The sequence below is a fragment of the Homo sapiens genome, chromosome 11 (assembly GCF_000001405.40).
Source record: "Homo sapiens chromosome 11, GRCh38.p14 Primary Assembly".
In the NCBI taxonomy this organism is placed as follows: Eukaryota; Metazoa; Chordata; class Mammalia; order Primates; family Hominidae; genus Homo; species Homo sapiens.
Genome location: NC_000011.10, coordinates 15196959 through 15220605, shown reverse-complemented (window position 1 = coordinate 15220605; position 23647 = coordinate 15196959). Strand labels below are relative to the sequence as shown.

Here is a 23647-nt window from a genome sequence, read left to right as displayed (position 1 = left end):
TTCATTGACTTGCCCCAGATCAAGAACTTTAAAAGCAGTTGGATTGGTATTCAAACTCAAATGGTCTGGTGTCAAAGCCCAGGTTTTGAACAGGATGTGATGCTGCCTCCTAAGAAGTGGCACCTGAGCTCAGACCTCAGCCTCCATTGGGGTCAGTACACAAGATTTGCTGGAGAAAAAGAGGGCAGGAGCTTGTCAAGGTTAGCTCTGCAGTGCTACTGCAGCCCCTCAGATGCCCCGGACACCAGCCTGCCTGGGGACCATGCCACCAAGCACCAAGTCCTTCTCGGGTTGGGAGTGGGAGGTAGGGATGAGGCAGGGGAAGAACAGGAGAGGTGGGGTGAGGAGCAGCCCGTGCTCATTCCCTACACCTGCCACAGACCTGAGGCTTCTGTCCCTGCGTCTTCCTGCCACTCAGCTCCAGTGGGCCTCCAGAGGTCTGCATTTCGTTTGCCTAATTATCACCACTGAGTTCTGTGCCTCCCTTAAATGGCTCTTGGGAGCTGTAAGGTCCATTAGCTGTGAAAGCCTTTGGCAATCTCAGACTCAAAGGAGACAAATGTGGAAACAGGAGCCCAGGGAACTGTCCACAATAAAATTCACCTGGATGTGCTTAATAAAAGGGAACAAACAGCAGCCATGTGGTCCCTGGCAGAACTGGACTCATGCCAGGTGTTTAACTAACAGGCCTTCAGAGAGAGGCCTCGTTTGGGCCTAGAAAAGGGAAGGGAAGCAGGGGCTAGAAGCAGGAAGCAGCCCTATTGCCAACATAAGAAACCTCTTACTCCATCTGGCTTTCATCCCTTTCCTCCTTCCAGCACAGATCAAGCTCGTTGCTAAGAAGCTATAGGATCATTAGTGGGGAAATATCTCAATCAATCCCGTCTCCTTAATCTCAACGTGGTTGCAGATGCTATCCTGGTCCCCAGCTCAGATGTGAATACCAGTCGGACCCAAACCAGTAACTTGCCCTAATCCCCAACACATGCTTGGAGATAGGCCAATCTGAACACACCAGAGAGGCCAAGGATTTGATGGTCCCCAGGGTCTGCTGCCACCCAAGGCCTGGCTGCCAGGCCTGCTCCCTAGTCCAGACTGCTGCTCTGAAACCCCATTGAATAAAACATCCCTGACATATACTGCATGCCAAGCCTTGTGCTGGGAACAGTGTCCACTGCAGTTGGGGAGGTGATTCACATCTACAAATTACAAATGAAGATGCTCTACAGAGGGGCCTCCTGGAGGCTACCCTGACTTAATGAACACGCCTCAGTTGGGAGACGTGGCCTTCTTTGGGTCTCCCATGCCCAAGTACCTTTGCTATCATTGTCACATTTGTCACACCAACAGGCCCTGTTTCTCCAAGTGAGGTCTGTGGACCAGCTGCATCAAATTCAGTGAGAGTTTCCTAAGAGCAAGTTCCTGTATCCCACCCAGACCTATTCCACCAGAATTGCCAGAGAGGCTTGAGAATCTGCTTTTTAACAGCTCCACAGCTGACTTTCATGTGCCAGCAATTCAGAGAAGCACTAATACAGTGTGATTCTCTGCTCCTTTGTCTGTCTGCTCCCCTGTCCCCCTGCCATCTCTGCAAGCCTGGGGACCACAGCTTGTTAACTCTTGGCTGCTCAAGGTCTGGCATGTAGTAGGCTTTTAGTAAGTGGGAAATAAGTACAATAAAGTAAAATTTGACCTAACACTTAAGGACACACTTTAGACAAGCAAAGCTAAAGGAATGGCGTCGTAGATGGAGGAGCTATTGTGAGCAAAGGCAATTATAGGAAAAGATAGCATTGGAGAAACAGCCAACATGAGAACTTAAATTGATTCTTGACCCCAGGAAAGTGACCCCATCCTGATGTAGACCCCAATTTCTTCACTGTCCTTTGGTTTCCAGAGGATGTGTGGAGTTGCTTATACAATTGCCAATTGCCCATCGTCTTGCTTCCCTTGTAGTTTGTTTTATATGCTTCAGATCTCTTTTGGTAACTCATTAATTATCCCTTCAAAAGGGAAATATATATATGTACATATATATATATAGAGAGAGAGAGAGAATAAGTTTTAACAAATAATAAAATGAACACCTGTATGTTTAGATGTATATGCCTAATATCCAAAAATTCTAGTTCTAGAAATAAAATCAAGAAAATCCCCAGCACACCTTTCATGATCTCATACCTCTGATTTCTCCTGCTGGATGGGCCATTACTCTGAGTTTTATGCATATTATTCCCTTGTTTTCCTCAGAGGTTTATTGAAGGTATCCACTGTTAGTTTTACAAGATTTGTACTTGACATAAATGGTATAATGCTGAATATGGCAATTTATTTTTCTCTCCAGTCAGTATTTGTTTATGAAACCTCTTCTTGTTGTTGCATGTGGCTATGATCCATTTATTTTCACTGTTGTATGGTATTTCATTATATAAATCAATTTCAATTCATTTATGCATTCTCCCGTCGATGGGTGTCTGAGTGGCTTCCCAGCTTTTGCTATAATGGACAGTGCTGCTATAAATATTCTTCTAAATGTCTTCTGGTGAACATCTGCCAGTTTCTTCAGAGATCCCAATCTAGGAGTGGAATTCCTAGGGCAAAGTGTTTCCGCATCTTTAGGTTTATTGGTATTGCCAATTGTTTTGCGACATGATAGTAGTAACTTTTATTCCCACCAGCAATACATAATCACACTAAAAACCAGATTCTTGCCAATACTTGCTATTGGCAGATTTTTAAATTTTTTGCCAATTTTATGGCTACAAAAATTGTATTTTAACCTGCATGTCTCCACTTCCTAATGAGGTTGAAAGACTTTTAATATCATTATTTTGCTTTGATTTGGTTTGTTTTGGCTTTTGTTTTTTGCAAGTTGGATCTCCTCTACTATAAATTGCCTGTTTAGCATCTTTTCATAGGGGCCAAATTTTCCTAGCGTTTCGTTCTGATGCAGCTGACCAGCCACTTGGTCTGCTGCCAGCAAGTTGATCTTCATATTCATTACCATCTCAGCAGCTCTTGCACAGCCCAGCTCACCATAGTATGAGGCCACTCAAGCGCCCCACACCACTGGGTTCTGGGCTTCCCAGCACCTGAGGCAATTCCTGTAGCATCAGAACATGCACAGACATTAGATTTAGGCCTACCTACGTCTGAATCCTGCCTCTATCCTTTACTAGCTGAACAATTTTCTTACCTACTGATATGGTTTGGCTGTGTCCCCACCCAAATCTCACCTTGAACTGTAGTTCCCATAATCCCCATGTCATGAGAGGGACCTGGTGGGAGGTAATTGAGTCATGCTGTTCTTGTGATAGTGAGTGATTTCTCGTGAGATCTGATGATTTTATAAGGGGCTTCCCCTCCGCTTTGCTCTGCACTTCTCCTTGCTGCTGCCATGTGAACAAGGATGTATTTGCTTCCCCTTCCACCATGATTGTTAAGTTTCCTGAGACCTCCCCAGTCCTGTGGAACTGTGAGCCAATTAAACCTCTTTCCTTTATAAATTACCCAGTCTTGGATATGTCCTTACAGCAATGTGAAAAAAGACTAATACACCTACTTTGAGCTTTTATCTATAAAACAGGAATAATACCAATCTCATAGGTTGTTTTTTTCCTTCTTATAAAATAGGCCTAAAAGTAACAACTTCAGAGGACCATTGGAATTATTAAATGAGAGACTGCATGTATAGTGCCTGCCACATGGTGGCACCATCATTCCCTCCCCTCCCCACCTGGTGGCTCCTAGACTTGGGGCCCTGAATCCTAGGTTCACCCCACTTCTGCCTGTCCCAGCCTCCTCACTGGGCTTCTCTCCAGAAGTCCTTTCTGCACACTCTTTTTGGAACTGAGACCTCACCAGGAACCTCAGCTCTTTGCACTGGGGCCCAAAGTTTAACCACTTGTTTAGACATCCATCAGTCATGCAGCCCAGAACCAGGACTTTTAAAATGGGAGTGATTTCTGTTTTGATTCCTAACTAGGAACAATGCAATGAATAATTGCAACTCCTCAGAAGGGAAGAAAGAGAAAATCAGTACTATCCCTGCATTTCTATAGTTCAATAAACATTTCCTGAGCACCTACATTGTGATAGGTGCTGACCTGGGCAGTGACACAGAGATGAAGCAGAAATAAATAAGAGAGATGAAGACACAAAGACGCACAGCAACACGAAAATGGAGAGTGAGACAGAGAGAAAGTGAGATAGAGAGGGGAGAGAGAAATCATATGCTTACAAAGGATTTGAGAAATTGTCTGATGCAAATCTCAGTCAATCAATTCCTCTCTCACTTGGCCTCCCTGTAAGCTCCACTGCTCCTGAGAATTCAGTTCTCTCCATCTTGCCCTGATCTCCTGCTGAGACTTTATGACACCACACTTTTAGGCTCCTCCCTAGCTCACCACTTTTTACCATTTGCTCTGTTGGCCTCTCCTCCTTTGCATTCATCTCAACTGGCATATACCAGGTTTTGCTGCCAGCCCGCTTTACTCCATATCAGACAAAGGCACCCAAACCCAAGTTGCCTCAGTGACTCGCTACAATGACCCCTAAACCTAGCCCTCTTTTCTGAGATCCACGTCTACATTCCAAACTGCTATCTTATCATTTTATATATAATTCCAAACATAATTTGCCTGGATATTCCACGGGCACCTCAACCCCAATTCACTTAAAGCTGAAGTGGTCATTTTCCCTGTTTTCCCTCCTTACTCCCCTCTCAGAGCTGGTCAGATGTCACTTCCTCTGTGAACATGCATGCACCTCCCTCACCCAGAAGAGGTCATCTCTGTTCTCCCCATTGCCACATCACTGTGGTCTGACCTCAGCTAGAACACCTATCAAGTTAGATGGTCTCTTCTGGTAACATGCACATTCCCCAAGCAGATTTGAGCCACTCAGGGCAGTTCTTATACCAAATTTTCTCTAGATCCTCAGCATCCAGCTGAGGCCTAACACACAGCAGTTTACTGATGAAGTATGGGCTGAATGATGAGGAAATGGAGGCCCAGGGAGGAGATGAGATTACCTAGGCCACATGGCAAGTTAATGCCAGGGCCAGGACTCCAGTTCTGGCCTCCTCACTTGTTGTCCCATGCCTCCCTCATTGGGGCCTCTGGGGAGAAGAGGAAAAGCTGGTGAAAGGGCCAGGTGAGCAGGGGATGCTCAGCTTAGTTCCCATGATGGGCCCAGGAGTAGCCCACCCTGAGGCCAGCTGCCCCAAACACAAGTCCCATTTTAGGAAAGTCTGCATCCCCAAATCACCCACTTCCCATCCCTTGTTGTAAACTTAATGATGCCAAGAGAACAATCTAATCAAAGCACTTTCACATCCCTAAAGAAATTGCTGCTGGAAGCACTTATAGATAATTAGATTTTACATGGAATGGAATGGGCCTGGGCCTGAAGCCAGACTTTCCTCATGGGCGGGCATGCAAGTGGTGATGAGGATGGCCTGGCTTGGTCATCATCTGGGCAGCAGAGCTGATGCACCTGGAGTCTGGATACAGAAGGGGCTGGCGAATGCTGAGATTCTTCCCAGGGAGTGGGAGGAACAGCATGGAAATTGTCTTAGTCTATTTTATGCTGCTATAATGAAATACCTGAGACTGGGTGATTTATAAAGAATCGATTTACTTCTTACAGTTTTGGAGGCTATGAAGTCCAAGTTTGAGGAGCCCACTTGCTGCGTCATTCTGTAGTGGAAGGCAGAAGGGCAAGAGATCTTGCATAAAAGGATTGGTGGGGGGCATAAAGCTGAACTCATCTTTTTATCAAGAGCCCACACCCAAGATATCTAACCCACTCCCAAAATAACAGTGTTAACCTATTCATGGGTGCAGAGCCCTCATGACCTAATCACTTCTTAAAGGTCCCAGCTCTCAACAAAGTTGCACTGGGGATTATGTTTCCAGCATATGAACCTTGGAGGACACAATCAAACCATAGCAGAACTTTTGCAGTTAAAGAACCCAAAGTGTACAGCAAACATCATATCAGATTTATGGGCAACATTCTCCTACTGATTATTGGAAAAGCACCAGTGGTGGTTTTTATGCAAATATCTAAAGGACACAGGCTAATATACAAAGGCCCATGATATATCACTGGTGCTAGTCTGCTCTTCTTAGTTTTGTTTTTTAGGGAGGTTGTTTTTGTTTTTGTTTTATGTGTCTAATTTTAAGGAAAAGGAGGTAGAGTTGGTTTCTGGATTGTAACAATTAAACAGAATCACGGGAATGCACTGAAAACGCAGCCATAGGAGCAGGAGAGTGACCTAGAGATGCTCAAATTTTCTCTTTCTTTCTGTCCTTCCAGACATCTAAAGGCTGCAGGAAAATACATGATGAGTGGGAATCACAAAGTGACTGGCATCCTGCTCATTGATCTAGGCAGGATGGACCTGTTCATCCAGGGTATAGTTAGAGGGCAAATTCAATTATAATCAGAAAGGGGAGCAAGGGTCACATCCAAGGAAGCAAAGACAAGTGACAGACCAAGGGAAAGGGCAAAGCATTTCATGGAATAAATAAACCCATGGGTCAGAGGCAGAATGCTAATGTGGACTGTACACCAGATAGGGACAAGGTTCAGGATGACGTCTGCAACAGTCTAAGAGGTTAATTAAAGGCTCCCTTTATACAATGAGGTGTTTGTTTTATGGCGTGGTGATAGAGCTGAGAGCTCCATAGAAAGCTGCAGAAGCTAAAACAGGCCTTCAGGATGATAATATTATCCTCCTCCAAACTAATATATCCCAGCACTCAACTTCTTTTGCTACGTCAAACAAGAATCTTTAGTTAAAAGTTAAATGGAAAAATACAAATATTCATATGTAATATGGAATGAAACAATGAATGAAAGGGATTATACAACCAGTTTGGCAGGCAAGTCAGTGAGGTAGAGAGAGAGAGAGACATATAGGCAGAGAAAGCAGGGATGAGTAATTAAGGTGGAAAGCAATTATGGATTGAGTAACTTAAGAGTATATAGAGTAAATAATTTCCCTGTTAGGCAGATGATTTTCCTTATAGCTGATTTTCAAACAGATGCTCTGAAGGTGCTTTGGGGGTGGATTTCCCTTTGGGCTAGGGTTACTAGGCATGTGCTGATAAGAAAATATCAAGTTTTCAGCAAAGCACTACTGGGCACAGCTGGGATCTGAATTGTACCCAACCTGCTTCTAGATCAGTGGTCCTCAGCCTGGTTCTTAGATGATTCGAATCATCTAGGACAGTCTTAAAGACACAGATATCCAGACTTTACCACCAGAAATTTGAATTTAATTGGTCTGTGGTGGAGTCTTGGTATCATTAGGGTTTTATTTTTGTTTTTGTTTTTTTGAGACAAGGTCTCACTCTGTCGCCCAGGTTGGAGTGCAGTGATCTGCCCGCCTCGGCCTCCTAAAGTGCTGGGGGTATCATTAGTTTGTAAAACTTAAAGTATAATTAAAAAAAAAAAACTCCTCAAGTAACTCTCATGGACATCCTGAGTTGAGCAGCACTGTTCTAGAGATATCTGTAATACAAGGAAGTTGCACAACCTTCACAGCGAGAAAAGCCTGGGCTCCTTGCTGACTTGGTGAAATGAGCAAGTTATCCACCTTCTATGAGCCTCATTTTTAATCCTTAAAATAATAATGGTATCATACTTAATAATAAAATAATAAGTTAAATGTTGACAGCTTTTTCCCTGAAATCAGTAACAAGGTAAAGATACCCATTATCACTGCTCTCATTTAAAACCATACTGCCCAATGCAATCAGACAAGATATGCAAAAATAGAAGGATTGAAAAAGTAGAGGCAAAACTGTCATTATTGACAGATGACATAATTGTGTACATAGAAAACTCTAATGAATCTATACACTATTAAAAACAGTAAGTAAATATAGCAAGCAAGATTACTGGATACAATATCAAACTTGTATTTTTTATGTATTACCAACAACAGAAAATAAAAATTAAAAAACACCATTTACATTTGCATGAAATCATAACTAGGAATAAATCTAAAAAAGATGTGCAAGATGCCAGCACTAAAAACTCAAAATATTGCTGAGAGAAATTAAAGACAGTTTGTATGATGTAGAGAGATGTACTCTGTTCATTGATTAGAATATTACACATTGTTTAAGATGTCAATTTCTGGCGGGGCCCAGTGGCTCACGGCAGGGCCCAGTGGCTCACGCCTGTAATTCCAGCACTTTGGGAGGCTGAGGTGGGCGGATCACCTGAGGTCAGGGAGGCTGAGGTGGGCGGATCACCTGAGGTCAGGAGTTCAAGATCAGCCTGGCTAACACGGTGAAACCTGTCTCTACTAAAAATACAAAATTAGCTGGGCGCGGTGGCACACACCTGTAATCCTAGCTACTCAGGAGGCTGAGGCAGGAGAATCGCTTGAACCCGGGAGGCGGAGGTTGCAGTGAGCTAGAATCGTGCCACTGCACTCCAGCCTGGGCGACAGAGTGAGACTCCATCTCCAAAAAAAAAACTATGTCAATTTCCAAAAATTTAAATTTTTAAAAACCCCAATCATTTCAGCAGGTATTTTTGTGGACATTGACAAGCTGATTCTAAAATGTATATAAAACTGTAAAGAAATTAAGAATTACCAAGATAATCTTAAAGAAGAACAAAGTTGGTTAATTTATGTTACCAAATAGAAAAATGTATTAGACTATAGGGGCCCCGTGCTCTATTGGCACAAGATGAACAAAAAGGCTAATGGAACAGAAAAAAAAAATCCAGAAACAGACTCATGCATGTATCACTATTTAAAAAAAAAAGAAAAAGGTATCACTTCAATTCAGTGCTGAAAGTACAGTCTTTTCAATAAACAGTGCTGGCTCAATTGGGTATCCATATGGGAAAAAAATTGACCTTGAACACCATTTTAAAATTAGGTTGAAATATATCATAAGCCAAAATTTTAAAGGCAAAACAATAAAGCTCCTAGAAGAAAATTAGGAGAATATTTTCATAATTTTGGAAAAATCAATGATTTCTTAAATGGACGCAAGCAGCACCGACTACAAAAGAAAAGGTCAATAAATTGAATTTTAACAAAATTAAGCATTTCTATTTATCAAAAGACACCATTAAGAGAATAAAAAAACCTACCACAGGCTGATAATATGTATCTTAAGAGAATTTATATGTAGAACGTGTTTTTCAAAGTTTATACATCAATAAGAAAAGACAAACAACCCAGTGTTTTAAAAATGGGCAAAAGACTCAGCCCTACATTTCACAAAAGATGATAACCAAATGGCCAGTAAGGATGTGAACAAGTGTTCAAAACCATTACTCATCAGGAAAATAAAAATTGAAACCATAATAAGAGAGGACGGTACACTCAAGTTGGTCACAAGCAGAGCACTGTATGTCCAGCTATTACAAATCTCCAAATAACTTGGTTTGTATTTTTGAAGTAGCCCAAAGAGAGAACGAAACACTCCTTTGGAAATTGATTGTCCATTAGCTGGGCTTGTGTCTTTCCAGCTCTTCTCCCTTTCTCTTCCTCCAGTAAGTCTCTTCCCCTTTTCTTATCCTCCTTCCTTCTCCCTGTCTCTCTTTATCTCTGTGGGTGACCAGAGGACCCACCACTTGCCGGCAGCAGGTTGTGGGTGATGGTTCTAGTTCTGGGCTTTGAGGGCTGGCCTACTGTCCATGCTGCACTGTCAGTGCCAGACTGTTCCCAGAAGTGGATCCTGCCTACCAAATTCTACCCTAAACCTTCACAGTGTATCATCCTTTCAATCCTCCCTCCACCCCACCAGCCCAAGCAACCTCCTTTACCCTGCTCCCCTCCAAACTAGCACTTGCCCCACTCCAGAAGCACTCAGGGGTGGCTGAGAGTGCCACCTCTGTACCTTGTCCCATGTCCTAGGCAATCTTTGCTTCCCTGTGAGCACGGCCTCCCTTCTCCCCAGCAACAGCACTGTGTTTTCATCAGACTTCTCATTTATTTTCTGCTCTCACCAGATTCTTTGGGACCAGCTAGGAGATACACAACAACTTTACCCTGCTAAGCCTGCTGCATCCCACTCCACCACACACACACACACACACACACACACACACACACACACACAAACTCTCAAATGCAGAGCTCCATCTAAGAATTCACAGGCACCCAGCTCTCTTCTAACAACTCCTGGAAGAACACCACCCACTCAACACAACCCAAACCCACAGAACAGGCATGTCTGTAGCCCACAGAACAGGCTAGAATTCCTAGCCCTGCCAGCTAAACATCTAACTTTTGTTCATCACATTACATCTCACAAAATTACTTCATATGCCACAGGATACCAGCAGAACTAGGAATCCCATCAAATGAGAAAATTGAGGCTCATAGGGATTAGAAAACTTCCCTGTGGTCACTTAGCAAATCAGTGGCAAATGAAGAACTTGTCCCAGGATCTCTTCACTAACATCAAGCCTGCTGAACTTTACCCAGGAAACATAGCCAGCCTCAAAGGGCTTCTACTCATCTGACTTATCTCAGGCTGACTTGCAGAGCTCATCTTGGCCCACCAACCTCCCTAAGTCTCTTTGAGACCTAAGAACTTGGGCTTAGGGCCATTAGAATTAGGAGACGGGCAAAGCCGGTGCAAATTGCCAGGGCTAAGTGGTGCAAACAGGGGCTCAGGGCAAATTCCATTCTGTCCTTATTGAGGGACCCTATGATGTTTATACTCCCCCAACTCCCACCCCTCATCAGGGTCTGAAACTGATCACAGCATCCTGCCATGCTGTTTCAAGTGAAGTCAGACATTCTGCATTCTGGTCTCAGCCCTGTGGTTGATCTCGGGAATGTGGGTGTGCACATCATTTCACCTCTCTGGGCCTCTATTTTCTCATCTGCAATGAGGAAGAACGAACCAGAAATCTTCAATTGGTATTTATTTGGTTTCATAGCAAACATTATTCACCTGTGTGTGCAAACCACTTCCCTGATGGACTAAAGAAGTGGGTGAGATAGTGTCTCTTGGTGGGGAAGCCAAGGCAGAGGTTTGAGGTCAGGCAGTGTGGGATACGCTTCCAGAGCAGTACCACATACTGTGTGAGCACCAAGGAGGGAGGATCACAGTCGGGAAGGAGGTCCAGAGGAGGCCTTAGAGCGAGATGTCAACAGTGGAGGTGAAACTCTCATTGGGACACCCAGCACAGGCAGAGGCTCCAAGGCAAGGAGGCCCCAAAGACCTTTGGTGGAGAAATTTGGTGGGAAGGGGAAAATAACTCACATCTATGGAGCATTGACTTGTATCATCTTCACAACCTGCAAGGCAGGGATTGACACTTCACTTTCACCTGTGATGAAATGGGGCTCAGAGGGGTGCAAGGTCACACACACAGTGAATAAGTGGTAGAGCTGGGCACCAAACCCAGGCTTGTTTACCAAAGGGGCAATGTGCTGGAGGCAGCTTGCTCAGAGGGCACCTTCAGTGCCAGGCTGAGGGGTTTGGATTTTGTCCAGTGGGAACTAGGAGGCCTAGGAAGATTTCCACTCCAAGAACACACAGGACAGACTCTCTGGGGAAATCTGGAAGTTAGATACATGTTGGAATGAAAGATTTGCCTACATCATCGGAGGCTGGCTCAGTAGGAAAAAGCCCTCACTGCCCTGAATTTGTAAACCTCCCCTACTCCCCCACTCACTCCGCCCCACACACTGGCCCTGACTGTTGGTCCTGGAGCCCAGAGACCACCAGCCTCAACAGCCCCAGGAGAAGCCTACCCCAGGCAGCCTGATGGAGCGGCCACTGGTGTTCTTATCCACCAGGGGTCGCTGTTGCACAGCACATGGGGTCCCACCGAGCCTCTGCGGATGGAGCCTGCTCCTGCAAACCCACTGCTGCACTTAGGCACCTGGACTGCCTGGCAGCCCCATCCCTTCTCCAAACTCAGGTTGGACCTGGCGGGAAAGGCGCAGTCCCCGAGCCTTCCTTCAGTCTGGAAAGTACTGGCCCATAATCTCAGCCTAGGTCTTTGTTAGAAGGGGAGAGGGCAGGTGGGGCAGTGTGGCTAATTTAGTTCCTGCCTCTTTGCATCCTGGCCTCCTTAAGTGCCCCCACCCCAGCCATCAAGACAGACAGACAGGAGCCTTGGTATGTCGAAAGTGAACAAGCCACAGTCCCTCTGAGAAGGCTCAATCATGGGCCCTGCCCCCTTGCAAGGCTGGGAAGAGTGACAATGACAGTGCCAGCCTCAGTTCCTTTCTGCCTGTCAGCCAGAGTCACAGCACAGCTAACCTGGGACCCTGGGCCTCTCTGCAAAGCCTTAGCCCATTCCCATGGGAGTTGAAGGCTAGTGTTTGGGGGTGTGAGGAGTGGAGGAAGCTGATAATCCTAGATGGGTTGAGTGCCAAAGAGAGGTGAAGAGGCATCTGCGACCTTCATTCAGAGGCATTCTCTCTCCCTCTCTCTAAAAGCTATTCCTAGGTAAGAAGGGATTGCAAGACAAATTAAGCAAAGATTTTTTTGCCTTGCATTCACAGCCCCTCTGTCTCTATCCAGCCTGGCTTATATATTAGAACCAACTCTAGCAAGAAAGTAGTAGCTTTGCTTTGGGATCTGCACACTATGACACCATTCACCTAATGGGACCAGGGGGCACACTTAGGATTAGGAGCAAAAACGCAGGGTTCTCAGTCCAGCCTCTGTCCCTCCCAGTATCTCTATCCTTTCCAGCCTCAACTTGCTCTTCTGTAAATAAGATGGAGGTGACCATCTCTCCCTGCCTTCCTTACAAAATGACCGTGAAAAGCAAATGGGCATAATGGTGAGAAAAACTGATTAAAGTGAGGTTTTTTTGCTTGTTTGAATTTTTTATTTATTTTTTGCAAAAATTAACTATTTATGACCATCTGCAATTATACAGGGAGCAGACAGTGGAGACAGACCCCTGTAAAACAGCAGCTGGGGCCACAGAGCCTCCCCACCATTCCCGCTTGCAGCCCACTCCCTCCTGCCCAGGGCCTCTGGGATTTCAAGAGCTCAATATAGGCCTCCCTGTCTTCATCTCTCTTCCAGCCCAGCACCTCAGCTGTCAGGGCCTATTGATTCCAAGAAGCTGCCCCAGGAAATGAGGGTGGGGCGTGAAGGAGCTGCATGGAGACAGGCAGCAGTTTTCCAGCTCTTGCCCTTGGTGATTTTCTTCTTGGACTTGAAATTGAGCCGTCCTCCCCGCTCTCCCCTCATCTTTAATTTCTGTATTGATTTTCATTAAACTACCCCCTTGGCTCCAGCACAGAGTGAACTAACTCGTTATTTGAAAAAATAAAATAAAAGGGAGGAGTGAGAATAAAAGGATGCTTTTTGAAAGTGAGGCCGTCTCTGGTCTTTCAGTTCTGGAAAAGACAATGACCAGAACTGTCCTGAAGGTTGTCTGAGCCTTGGGCTTTGAGTGCCCCCCACTCCTTTTGGCCACAGACCTGTAGCTTCCTATCCCTAACATCTCCAGCCCCTCATCTGGACCATAGTCCGCAGTCCAGCTCTAGTCTCCAGCCCCCTCCAACCCCATCCTGGCCTGGCCCCATCCAACCACAATCAATCCCTGAACCAGCAGTGCCCTGACCTTCCCCTTCACCACTCAGAGTACCTGGCACCCTGCCATGGTCATTGCAAAATCCCCAATAACCAGGTCCTTTGGGGGCAATGTGAAGTTTTCCCCAGACCAGCCTGGAAAAGTAGAGACAAATGGGCATGGGAGGAGGAAAAGGAAACAGACACAGGCAGAGTGCTTTCTCCACGCAGGCACCATTGCTGCAAGACCCACCCATATTGCTTCATTGCATCACCATAGCAGCCCTATAAAGAAGGTGGGAGTCCCATTTTACAGAAGATGAAGCTGGGATTCAGACAGGAGAAGTGACTTGCTCCCTCACCTCTCTTCATTCTTCCCCAAACCCTGCAGTCCTCCCCCTTGGTAATGCCAGTTCACCTTGCCAGCTCCAGTCCTCCAGGAAGGCCACCCTCAGCAGTCCACCCTGACCAGGCTGGGTTCATCTGCTCTCGCTGGACTGTGTGGCTCTGGGGCCCTTACTCCCTCCTTGGCCCTCATTTTCTCCCTCTAGTCTTCTCCCAAGTGAGGTCCAGAGAACACTGCCTTCTCCTTGGGGCTCCCCCAATTCACTGAACACAAAGACCCTGGAAGACTTGGAGACTTGGAGCCCCATTGGGTGGCTCCCTGCTGGGGTGGCTCCCTGCTGTGGTGTCCCCTCTGCCCCTGCCCTTGTTAAGACTGCTTTCCTCTGGTCTGCCTGGGAGCTCCTCCCTGGCCCTTCTGGGCCCAGCTTCATTGCCTCTTTGGTGCTGCCTACACCGGCAACCCCACCAGAGGTGGGGCCTCCTGCTTATAGCCTCTGATGGCCATGGGACAGCCCTTACCACTGTCTGTCCTGCTGGGCCTCTCCCCCTTCAGCCATCCTGGGAAGCAGGGAGCCTGTCTCTTCTCCAGAACCCAGCATAGGGGTAGGGAATGAGGAGTGATGTCAGATGAAGACACAGGGAAGGAAGGACAGATGTCCTGAAGCTTAGGATGCAGGGAGGCTGCAGCCCAGATGAACCAGACCTCCACGTGACAGCTCTGAAAAGAAAGAATGAGGCCTCAAAACGCCTGTCAGACACTTGTGGAGAGGCCTTTGCTGTGTGTTGGCATCTTGCCTCCATCCCTGCTTGTTGGGTGTCTGTGTCCGTCCCTTGCCCAGGCCAACACAGAGAACCTGGCTCCCAGTCCTCTGCAGTCCCTGCCTCAGAAGGACCAGCTATCCCCAGGTAGCAGAGGAAAGAGCAGGAGTTTAGAACCAGCCAGACTTAGGTTTGCATCCAAGCTCTACATTCATGACTGAGGAAACACTGTCTCGGAGTCTCAGTTTCCTCGTCTGTTAAAGGGAAAGACTGTGAGGACTCATCCCCCCTGGACCACCCAACTTCTCCATGTGTGCACTTCACTGCAACTTTGACCAGGCCAGCCCCTCTCCCACATGCCAGCCCTCCCTTCCCCACCAGACCCTAACCTTCCATTCATTTTCAAAGTCCAAGTGATTAGCATTATACCTGCCACAATCACAGTAGCCACCATTTATTCGCTGTCTACTCTGTGCCAAGCATCATATTACTATACATGAGGTAGATTTTATAGGCTCATTTTACTGATCAAGGAACTGTGCTAAGCAAATCCCCCAGGATAACATATCCAAGCTCACAGTGAGAAAAATCTGTTCAAACCCAGGATTGCCTGATTCTCCAAGTTCTCAGTCTCTCCACTGTAATAGGCTGCTTCAGTGATAAAAGAAGGAATTCATAGAGTGAATTAGTGGTGGACTTCGTGAGAGAACAAATGAGTGAGTAAGTTTACTTATTTTTTATTTTATTTTACTTTTAAGAAACAGGGTCTAGCTATGTTGCCTAGGCGAGCCTGGAACCCCTGGCTTCATGCATTGCTCCTGCCTCACCCTCTTAAAGCACTGGAATTTGAGTGAGTTTAAAAGTAAGTGAATGACTGACTGGCAAACAGAAGGAATGAAGAAGCAGAGACGAAGTGACTTCCCGTGAGTGAATGAATGAGACCATGACTGAATCTATGACCACAAAAGTCCCCCAAACCCAGCAAGGCTCAGGCATGACACAGCAGCAATTGGGATGGATGCAGTGACCTGTCTAGACCCACAACTCCGCTGGGGGCTGTGCAGGATTTAATGAACCTCTTCACGGTTGAAGGAAAGGAGGGGGAAGCTGCACAACAGAGACGAATTTCACCAAATCCAGCACGTTTCCCACTGCCAATTAATTAAGCGAACCTCAGTGAGAAGGCCAGGCCAGTAAATCAGGCGGAGAAGGCTGGAACTTTGATGTGATCTAATTTGGCCACGAACCATGCCCGGTGAGTGGGTGGCTGGCAAGAGCCCCAGGGAACCACACTTCCCCACTCCACCTTCACTCACCTGTCACTCTGTGGTTTCTACAATCCGGCCTGTGCCTGGTCTTCACCATCTTCCATCCTCAACACTGACAATGGCCAACCTCACCAGAGCCTCTGTGGGCAGTGCTGAGCAGCCCAGCTCACAGAGGGTGGCAGGCATGGACAGAACCCAGGGAGGGGGTGTGGGTGGAGGGTGGGAGAGATTAAGGACCTCATGGGTGTCTCTAGAACTTCTCCCAACTTTGGAAGCAATATGATATGGAGGAAAGGAGCATGGAAACTGGCCTCACAATATCAGATTTTGAGTCCTGGGTCTGCACAATTGTTAACAGCCCAGGCTGGCTCTGGCCCAGCAGAGCTGGAATTACATTACTGCCTGGGCTACTTTTTAGCTATGCGCCCTTGAGCAAGTGGCTTCGCGTCTCTGAGTCTCCCTTTCTTCTGTAAGCAGTGGAGATATAACAGGATGGCAAGGAATAAATGACTTGATGAAAGGAGGGGCTTAGCAAAGTGCTTGCCCAAAGCAAGTATTCGATATATGTTAGTTATTGTTCCTCTCACCGTGGTCATGACATCTTCCTTACCTGCTAGAACCGGGCTCGGCAAGAATTTTCTATAGATGGCCAGAGAGTAAATATTTTTGGCTTTGAAGGCTATATGGTCTCTGTTGCAACTATTCAGTTCTGCTATTTTGGTATGAAAGCACATAGAGAACACCCAAACAAACAAGTGTAGCTGTGTTCTAATAAAACTATGGCTGAACTTCGAATTTCACAGAAGCTTTCATGGGACACAGAATTTTATTCTTCTTCTGTTTTTTTTTCTGACCATTTAAAAATGAAAAAAAAAAATCATTCTTAGCTCATGGGCCATACAAGGCAGACAGCAGGCTGAATTTAGCCCATGGACCATAACTTGCTACCTTCTAGACTAGAATGTAATCTCCATGAAGACAAGAGGTTTTGTCTGTTTTGTTCACTGTTATACTCCCAGCACCTAAAACAGTGCCTAGCAAATAGCAGATAGTAAATATTTGCTGAATGAATGAATTACATAATGTATGATTTCATGCAAGAAGTCATTTCACCTCTCTGGACGTCAGTATTTTCATCCATACTATGGGGATACTTTCAAACTTGAAGCAAGCATCAAATGAAATTAGAATCCATGTGGAGTCACTTTGCAAGCTCTACAACTGCTACACAATGTAGTTGTTATTTCTGATCACTCAGGGGCTCTTACCAGGGTAAGTCTTATTCCTCTTCAGTGCCTGGCACAGAGGAAATATTTCATGAGTGTCTGTGTATTATAAGCAATCTGGCCTGGAGAGGAGAAATGTCCAGGTAAGCTACTATCCCCTATGCCAGCTGGGGATGTGAGGGGTTAGCACAGTGGCCAGGAATAGCAAGGTGGTCTGGGATTAAGCTGCAGGGACCTTTTCAGTGCTCTCAGAGTAATCATTAAACCAGCAAGGTCGTGACACAGGGGTGCTGTACTATGGCAGATGTGGGTCCAAATTCTGGCTCTAACACTTACTATGTTATTTAGGCAAGTCACTTAAACTGTCTGAGATTCCATTTCCTTATCTTTAAGATGGAGATACTAATAGTGCTCACCTCACAAGGTTCTGGTGCATTAATGAAAGGACATATGTAGTGGACTATCTCAGCACCTGGCACAAAATAAACCCCCAGACTACGAGCATCTCTTTCTCCTTTTGCTCAACTGGGCAGGGTCTGAATCTCAGGCTAGGGCCTGGGCCGTCTATACTGCGAAAGACACATTAAAGCACTCTGGCATTTGAGCAGCATCAGATAGGTGAAAGGAAAAATGCCTCCAGCCATCCCAGCTGCACAGGTTTTCAACTCTAAACAAACAAACGAAAAGCCCTGTTGTTTTTCTTCCCTGAATTGAAAACTTCCTTCTGCACTGCAAGCTCACTAAAGCCATACAATCGGCTTTTGGAGGGCTGGTGATCCCAAGCTCCTTCTATCTTCTCCTCCCATTTTCCCTGCCAACCAGACAGGAAAGGTGAGAAACAAACCCCATTTGGTCGTTTGTACACTATCCAAGGAAGGACAAGTTTTATAGGAGAAGGGAGGGAATTATTCAGAACGTGAAGTTGAGGATGCTCAATGCATTTCCTTTATCAAGTCCACTGTCTGTCTCTCCCTCTCTCTCTCACCATCCTCTCCACTCCTCTATTTTGCCATATAAGAGAGCACACGCATAGCATGTCTGTGCTCACACAATCAGACAGTCCACTGGAATAGAGATAACTGTAATTGGTTTCAGCCTTAGAAGACTTGGATTTGGCTTTTGGTTCTCTCATTTAATAGCTATATGACCCTGAGTTAATCACTTCTCTCCTCAGAGCCTCGCTACCTAATGAGTAGCACAATGAAGGAGTAAGCATGGATTTCTCACCTCCAAATCTAGTGCTCATAGCAACTAGATATGAAGACTTCCAACCCGGTGGGAAGCGGGCACTCTGTCCAAAAAGCTGGCACTATCTCCTCTACTATCTTGCTCTGTCACCTTAGGCAAATTACTTCCCCATTCTGACCCATAGCCTTGTCATCTGTAAAATGAGCAGATTCCCTATCCACATTCCATCCTTAGCTAAGAGCATCTGTAAGTTCATGATTCTATGACCCTGTCCCAATAATCTGAGTAGGTTTGGAAGGAGACAGGGTAAAAAGTAAGATGACCATTTGTCTAGGAGTCCAGACCAAAGTGAAGAAGCTGAGGGTAGGGTGGAGTTATTTGGGCTGCCAGGACCAGACTGTGGGACATGGATGCAGAGGACAGAGAGCAGTTTGCTGGCCCCTGTCCCCATTTAGACCAGCTAACAGGAACAGACTCAGATCCCACCCCAAATCCTGCAGGTACCACCATAGTAGCAGGACGTACCAGGCCTTTCCACTTTTCTATAAGAATTTTCAGCATCTTTCCTGGAAACTTGGTTGGGAAACCCCAGATTTCAGCCCCTGCCTCCCCAGCTCTCCTGGCTGGAGTCCCTGAGAGCCTATCCGCAAGCTCAGACTCACTCATGTCTAAGTAGAGGCGCAGCCTCAGTCGCACAACCAGGGAAGGGGTCAGGGTGGCGGGAATTAGTTATGTCACCATAGATCAGGCTTGAACAGAGGCACTAGAGCCTGTCACATCACCACCTTCCTCCTCTAACCCTACCCTACTCCCACGCCATCTTGGCCCAGTGAGCACTTGGACTGGGGCTTCCACCTCCCTCACCCAAGCCCGCTGGTCTTTAGTGGAGAGGAGCCCCACCTGCTTTCCCAGACACCCAGTGCTGCCCTGCTCTTGCCCAGTCAATGCTCCCAGGATCTGGATCCTCTTCCGTCTTTAGGAGGCCTGCTGTGGGTGAAGAATCAACCACCCTGAACCCCAGCACCAACACCTGACTTGCCTGCCTCCTACCATGATCCACCCACAGGAGTCTCCCCAGTTGTCACCCCACCCAGGAAGTGCTGAGTGTCCCTTTGAGCCCTGCCTTTCCTGCTCAGGCTCATCAGTCCCCATCTCCTTCACCTCTTTGCTGACTCCCATAGTCCAGGTCCCAGCCACCCTATCCGAATGGTGCCTGGGAAAAGGACTACTCGAGGCACTTGGTCCATGAAAAGGAACAGATGGCCATCATGAGGCCTGGACCTCACCCCTACCTGGCTTGAGGACCTCAGGCACCACCCAGCCAGCTGTCCTTACCTTCTCCAGCTGGTGGACACCCTCTTCCACGCAGCAGATGGAGGCCAGCGTGCGGAGCGCCTGGGGGTACAAGCACCGGAAACTGTCCTGCCGGCAAACCTTGAAGAGTGCTACGACCCCACCCTCCTGCCAAGAGAAAGAAATGTCACATCATCTTACTGTGTGACCTTGTCTGGGGCTAACTCAAGAATAAGTGACATCCCTGATTCGCCAGATATGCTTTCGGGTCCTCCCTGCCTCCAGCAACCCCCGCCCCACACACACTTACACACACTCAAATGCTCACATGTACACTACAGAGAAATGCTGGCTCCAGAAATAATGTCACCCTTCATAGTCCAAGCTGGAGATGGGATACTATAAATGCTTCTGGGGCTCGGGAGCCAGGGGCCAAGGCAGGCATATTTGCTAGGGCTGGCGATCAGTACCCTTCAACAGGGTTCCCAAACATCTGGCAACTCCCTTGGAGCAGCCTCCCATAGAGCAGGCCTGGAGTCACAGGAAGCAGGTCCTAGAAACCAATCTGAGGCAGGTGGAAGGAACTGACTAGATGCCCAGAGCTGGTTCTCCCTCTGCCAACAGTCACCATGCTATTCCTCAGATTCTTCCAACTGCTGCAGGAGGCAGGCAAAAAAAATGTTTCATTTATATTAGTACTACCATTTCCTCCCATTTTTTGATCAAAAAAACTGAAGTCCGGATGGGTAAAATAATTCAGCCTAAATTCACATCATCATTTTCACTCGTTTACTCCTGTTTGTGTGTGTGTGTGTGTGTGTGTGTGTGTGTGTGTGTGATATAACCCTTTTAAAAACAATCATCGCAGCTCTTGAGTGTGGTGAGCATGTACTTTTCCTTTTGTGAGAGCTGTTTATGGAAACTTCTTTCCAGTAAAGTGTTTACCATCAGGCAAGAATCTGGGAGTGCAGAGCTCATTGTCCAGGTGCCCTGCTAACTAGTCAGACTTACTCATAATAATCGCTGGAGCCAACCTTAGCTCTGGGAGCAAAGTGAGCCAAGAGATCACTGGAATGACTAACCAAGGTGCCAAGCAAACCAGTGGCAGCACTAACTGGGGCATTTAGAGTGGCAGGAATTGGATATCCCACATCTCGCTTTGCCCAGATCTTTCCCTCTTTCCTTCCCTGAAAGCTGGCAGGGTGCCTAGGGTTGGCAGCAGTAAAGAATGCATGAGCAACTGATCTGAACTGGGTCCCTCAGGGCACTCGCCTTTAACCTCATCACTCCTGGGTCTAACTAACCTCATTGTACCGGTTCCCAAAACTAAGCAAAATGTTATAGGAAGAAGGCAAGTTCAGCAAAAGACCATCCTCTGTCAGGTTTTTGAGAACTCTGACAACAAAAGCACCTATTATGTGCCAGGCTCAGTTCCATGTGTGCTGAGAATGCAGCAGTGAATGACGATAAAACAACGAATGGGCAATTGGAAGAAGAAGCCCAGCACGGGTTCACCAAAATAGCTCAATTCCAGATCTTCCCTTACCCTCCACCCCAAAATGATAGGCTCATGCGCCCTTTTCATTCTAAGAGTTTTGCTGCTGGTCACTTCAGGGGTCAAGATGAAGATATCCAACTCTGGAGGAGTTCATAATTTCTGACATTTTATAATCAGCTAAGAGTAATCACAACTTATATATTCTACTTCCTTTGGGGTGGTTGAATTCCCCTCATTTCTTTTGGTGTGAAAGGGCATAACTTAGGGCTAGTACATTCATTCGTGCATTCAAAAATGTTAATGGTTTATTATAGGCCAGACGTCATGCTGGACACTGAGCAAGACTGCTTCAGTCCCGTCCACAATAAACTCATGGTCTCATAGAGAAGGCAGACAATTTTAAAAGCAGGTACAAAGCTGGGTAGAGGGGCAATGACATGTGGTTGGGGGTGCAGGGTTAAAAGAACACAGAGCAGAAGCCCTAACATGCTCGGAGGGTGGGGGGTTGTAGAAGGGTCAAGACAGAACCACTCTGATTTTAAGTGCACGTAATTACTTCAGTAAAAATGTCTGGCATGAGACAGACACTTACACCTCTGATTCCTTGTTCCACAACCTTTACTCCTGCCTTCCTACTTTCCCATAGTTCCTGGGACATCTGCTTGAAGGTTCTACATACAGACCTCACTCAGAGAGTCACTGAAGGAAAACCAAGTTACTCTTTAGAATGAGAAGAAAAGAAATAGAAGTCCTAAGCTCTCATCAGCCAGCCCTGCTGGTCATTTCTAGCCTTCTTCCAGATGTAAATATATATACATATATATGGATATATATTTATATATGTGTGTGCTTATATTTAATCATACATATTGTATAAATATTATTTCTCTATATATGTAGATAGATGAGAGAGAGAGAGATGACTGATTGAGAGACATTTACATCTGAAGCAGACAATGAAGAAACAGTGCCAACGAACACGCATGAGGCCTGAGCCAGGATGAATGTGGCAGCCTCCTTTGGCTCAGGAGGCACTGAGCCCAGCACAACTATATTTAAGCCTCTGCATGCATTTGCACTGGATTCTCATTACATCTCTCTCAAGCCTGTGAAAAATGGCCTTCTTAGCACTTTTAGCTACCAGGAGAGGGAGGGGGAAATTCCTGGATCCAAAAGAAAGAGATTCTGGTCCAAATCCTGGCTTTGCTGCTGGTTAAGTTTGGCTAAAAATGGGCTACAATAGCTATATGTCTGAGCTGTTGGGGGTGCAATTGAGTTAGTACATGTGGAAAGGCCTGGTACCTGATTCTGGAGAGTGGGTAAGGGTCAGGCTATGTGAGGCTTCCTGATTATAAGAGTGTCTTATATCCTCATGAAAGAGGTCCCGAGGGCTAGGATATGTGAGAGGAGAGAGAAGGAAGAAAGCCACAGAGGAAATAAAATGGATTGGTCTTGAGGACCACTCTGGAGCCCCCATTCAAGAACCGAGTGCAGCACTCATCCTGGAGTGAAGCTGGGAATGGCCTGACCTAGCAGAATCACACTGTTGGCTGAAGCTTGTTTAATTTTATAGAAAGCTCCGGGCTCAGAGCCCAGCCACATAACAGTATGAATTATTCAGAGAGACTTGGGATGAGCTGTCATAAAGTGGGAAGAGATCACTTGTGGGGTGTGTGGGCTGGTGGTGGAAGGAATAACAGAGGAGTTATTGGTGGGGGGGATAATTTTGATGAAGCCCAGAGGACTTTTCTGTGCCTTGCACAGGGGAAGGGATGGAGTTTGTCACCATCATCATAGAGAGGTCTGGGCTTATTCTTTAGCCTTCAGAGGAACCCAAGAAGCTGAGAGGACAAGCCTCAGACAGGTTGCCCACATTTTCTCCCAGAAGCAGCTAAGATAGATGAAGGACCCAAACAAACAGAACAGCAGGCCACAAAGAGGTGGATGAGGAAGGCTGCTAGATCACTGCCCCACACTGTTACAACACTGGGTACATCTACTGAGCATCCAAGGTGAGGATGCTGTGCAGGGCATGCCAGGGACTCCCAGCTCCTGCATCACTGTCAGAACTGGAAACCCAAACACAGTAATTCTATGGGAGGAATTAGTCTCCCATCTTCTCCCAGAGAGAAGATTCAGGAAGGACTCCCTTTTCCAGCCCGGAAAAATGGATGAAAAGATGAGCTGGAAAGATGGAAGTCCTCCCTGAATCTTTTCTCTGCTTCAACACTCTGTCTGCTCCATCCCTTGGACCTGAAATATCAGAAGGTTGAGATTAAGATTCTGGAATCTGTAGACCTGGTTAAAATCCCAGCTCTGCTTTCATGTGTGTGACCTTGAATAAATTATTTATATTCTTTCTGAAACTCTGTCTCTTCATCTTCAAAATGGGAATTATAATTATGACATATCAAAAGACTATCAGAGAATCAGATGAGATGGTGATTAGAAAGCATAGCACCATGCCTGAGTAAACAATGGGCATGGAAGGTTGGTGAGAGAAAGGAAGAGAATGGGAAGTAAGGTGGGAGGAAG

The 23647-nt window shown here is 46.3% G+C and overlaps 1 protein-coding gene across 11 annotated transcripts in view, besides 1 other annotated feature; it reads right to left on the bottom strand.

Moving 5' to 3' along the window:
• Window positions 1–23647, bottom strand: part of INSC (INSC spindle orientation adaptor protein) — a 158261-nt gene that overhangs the window by 49071 nt on the left and 85543 nt on the right. For 10 of the 11 annotated variants that reach the window (XM_006718227.3, NM_001031853.5, XM_017017698.2 and 7 more), the window contains one exon: window positions 19657–19782. The exons of the other annotated variant lie outside the window; for it this stretch is intronic. In XM_006718227.3, the coding sequence (XP_006718290.1) occupies window positions 19657–19782 (126 nt within the window). The remainder of the gene's footprint in view (window positions 1–19656; window positions 19783–23647) is intronic. 11 annotated transcript variants of the gene reach the window in all.
• Window positions 11796–11845: a silencer, noted in NCBI's record as "silent region_3178". NCBI's record gives its function as "represses an Ori minimal core promoter by ATAC-STARR-seq in GM12878 lymphoblastoid cells {active_cell/tissue: GM12878}" and the evidence as "EXISTENCE:reporter gene assay evidence [ECO:0000049][PMID:35858748]".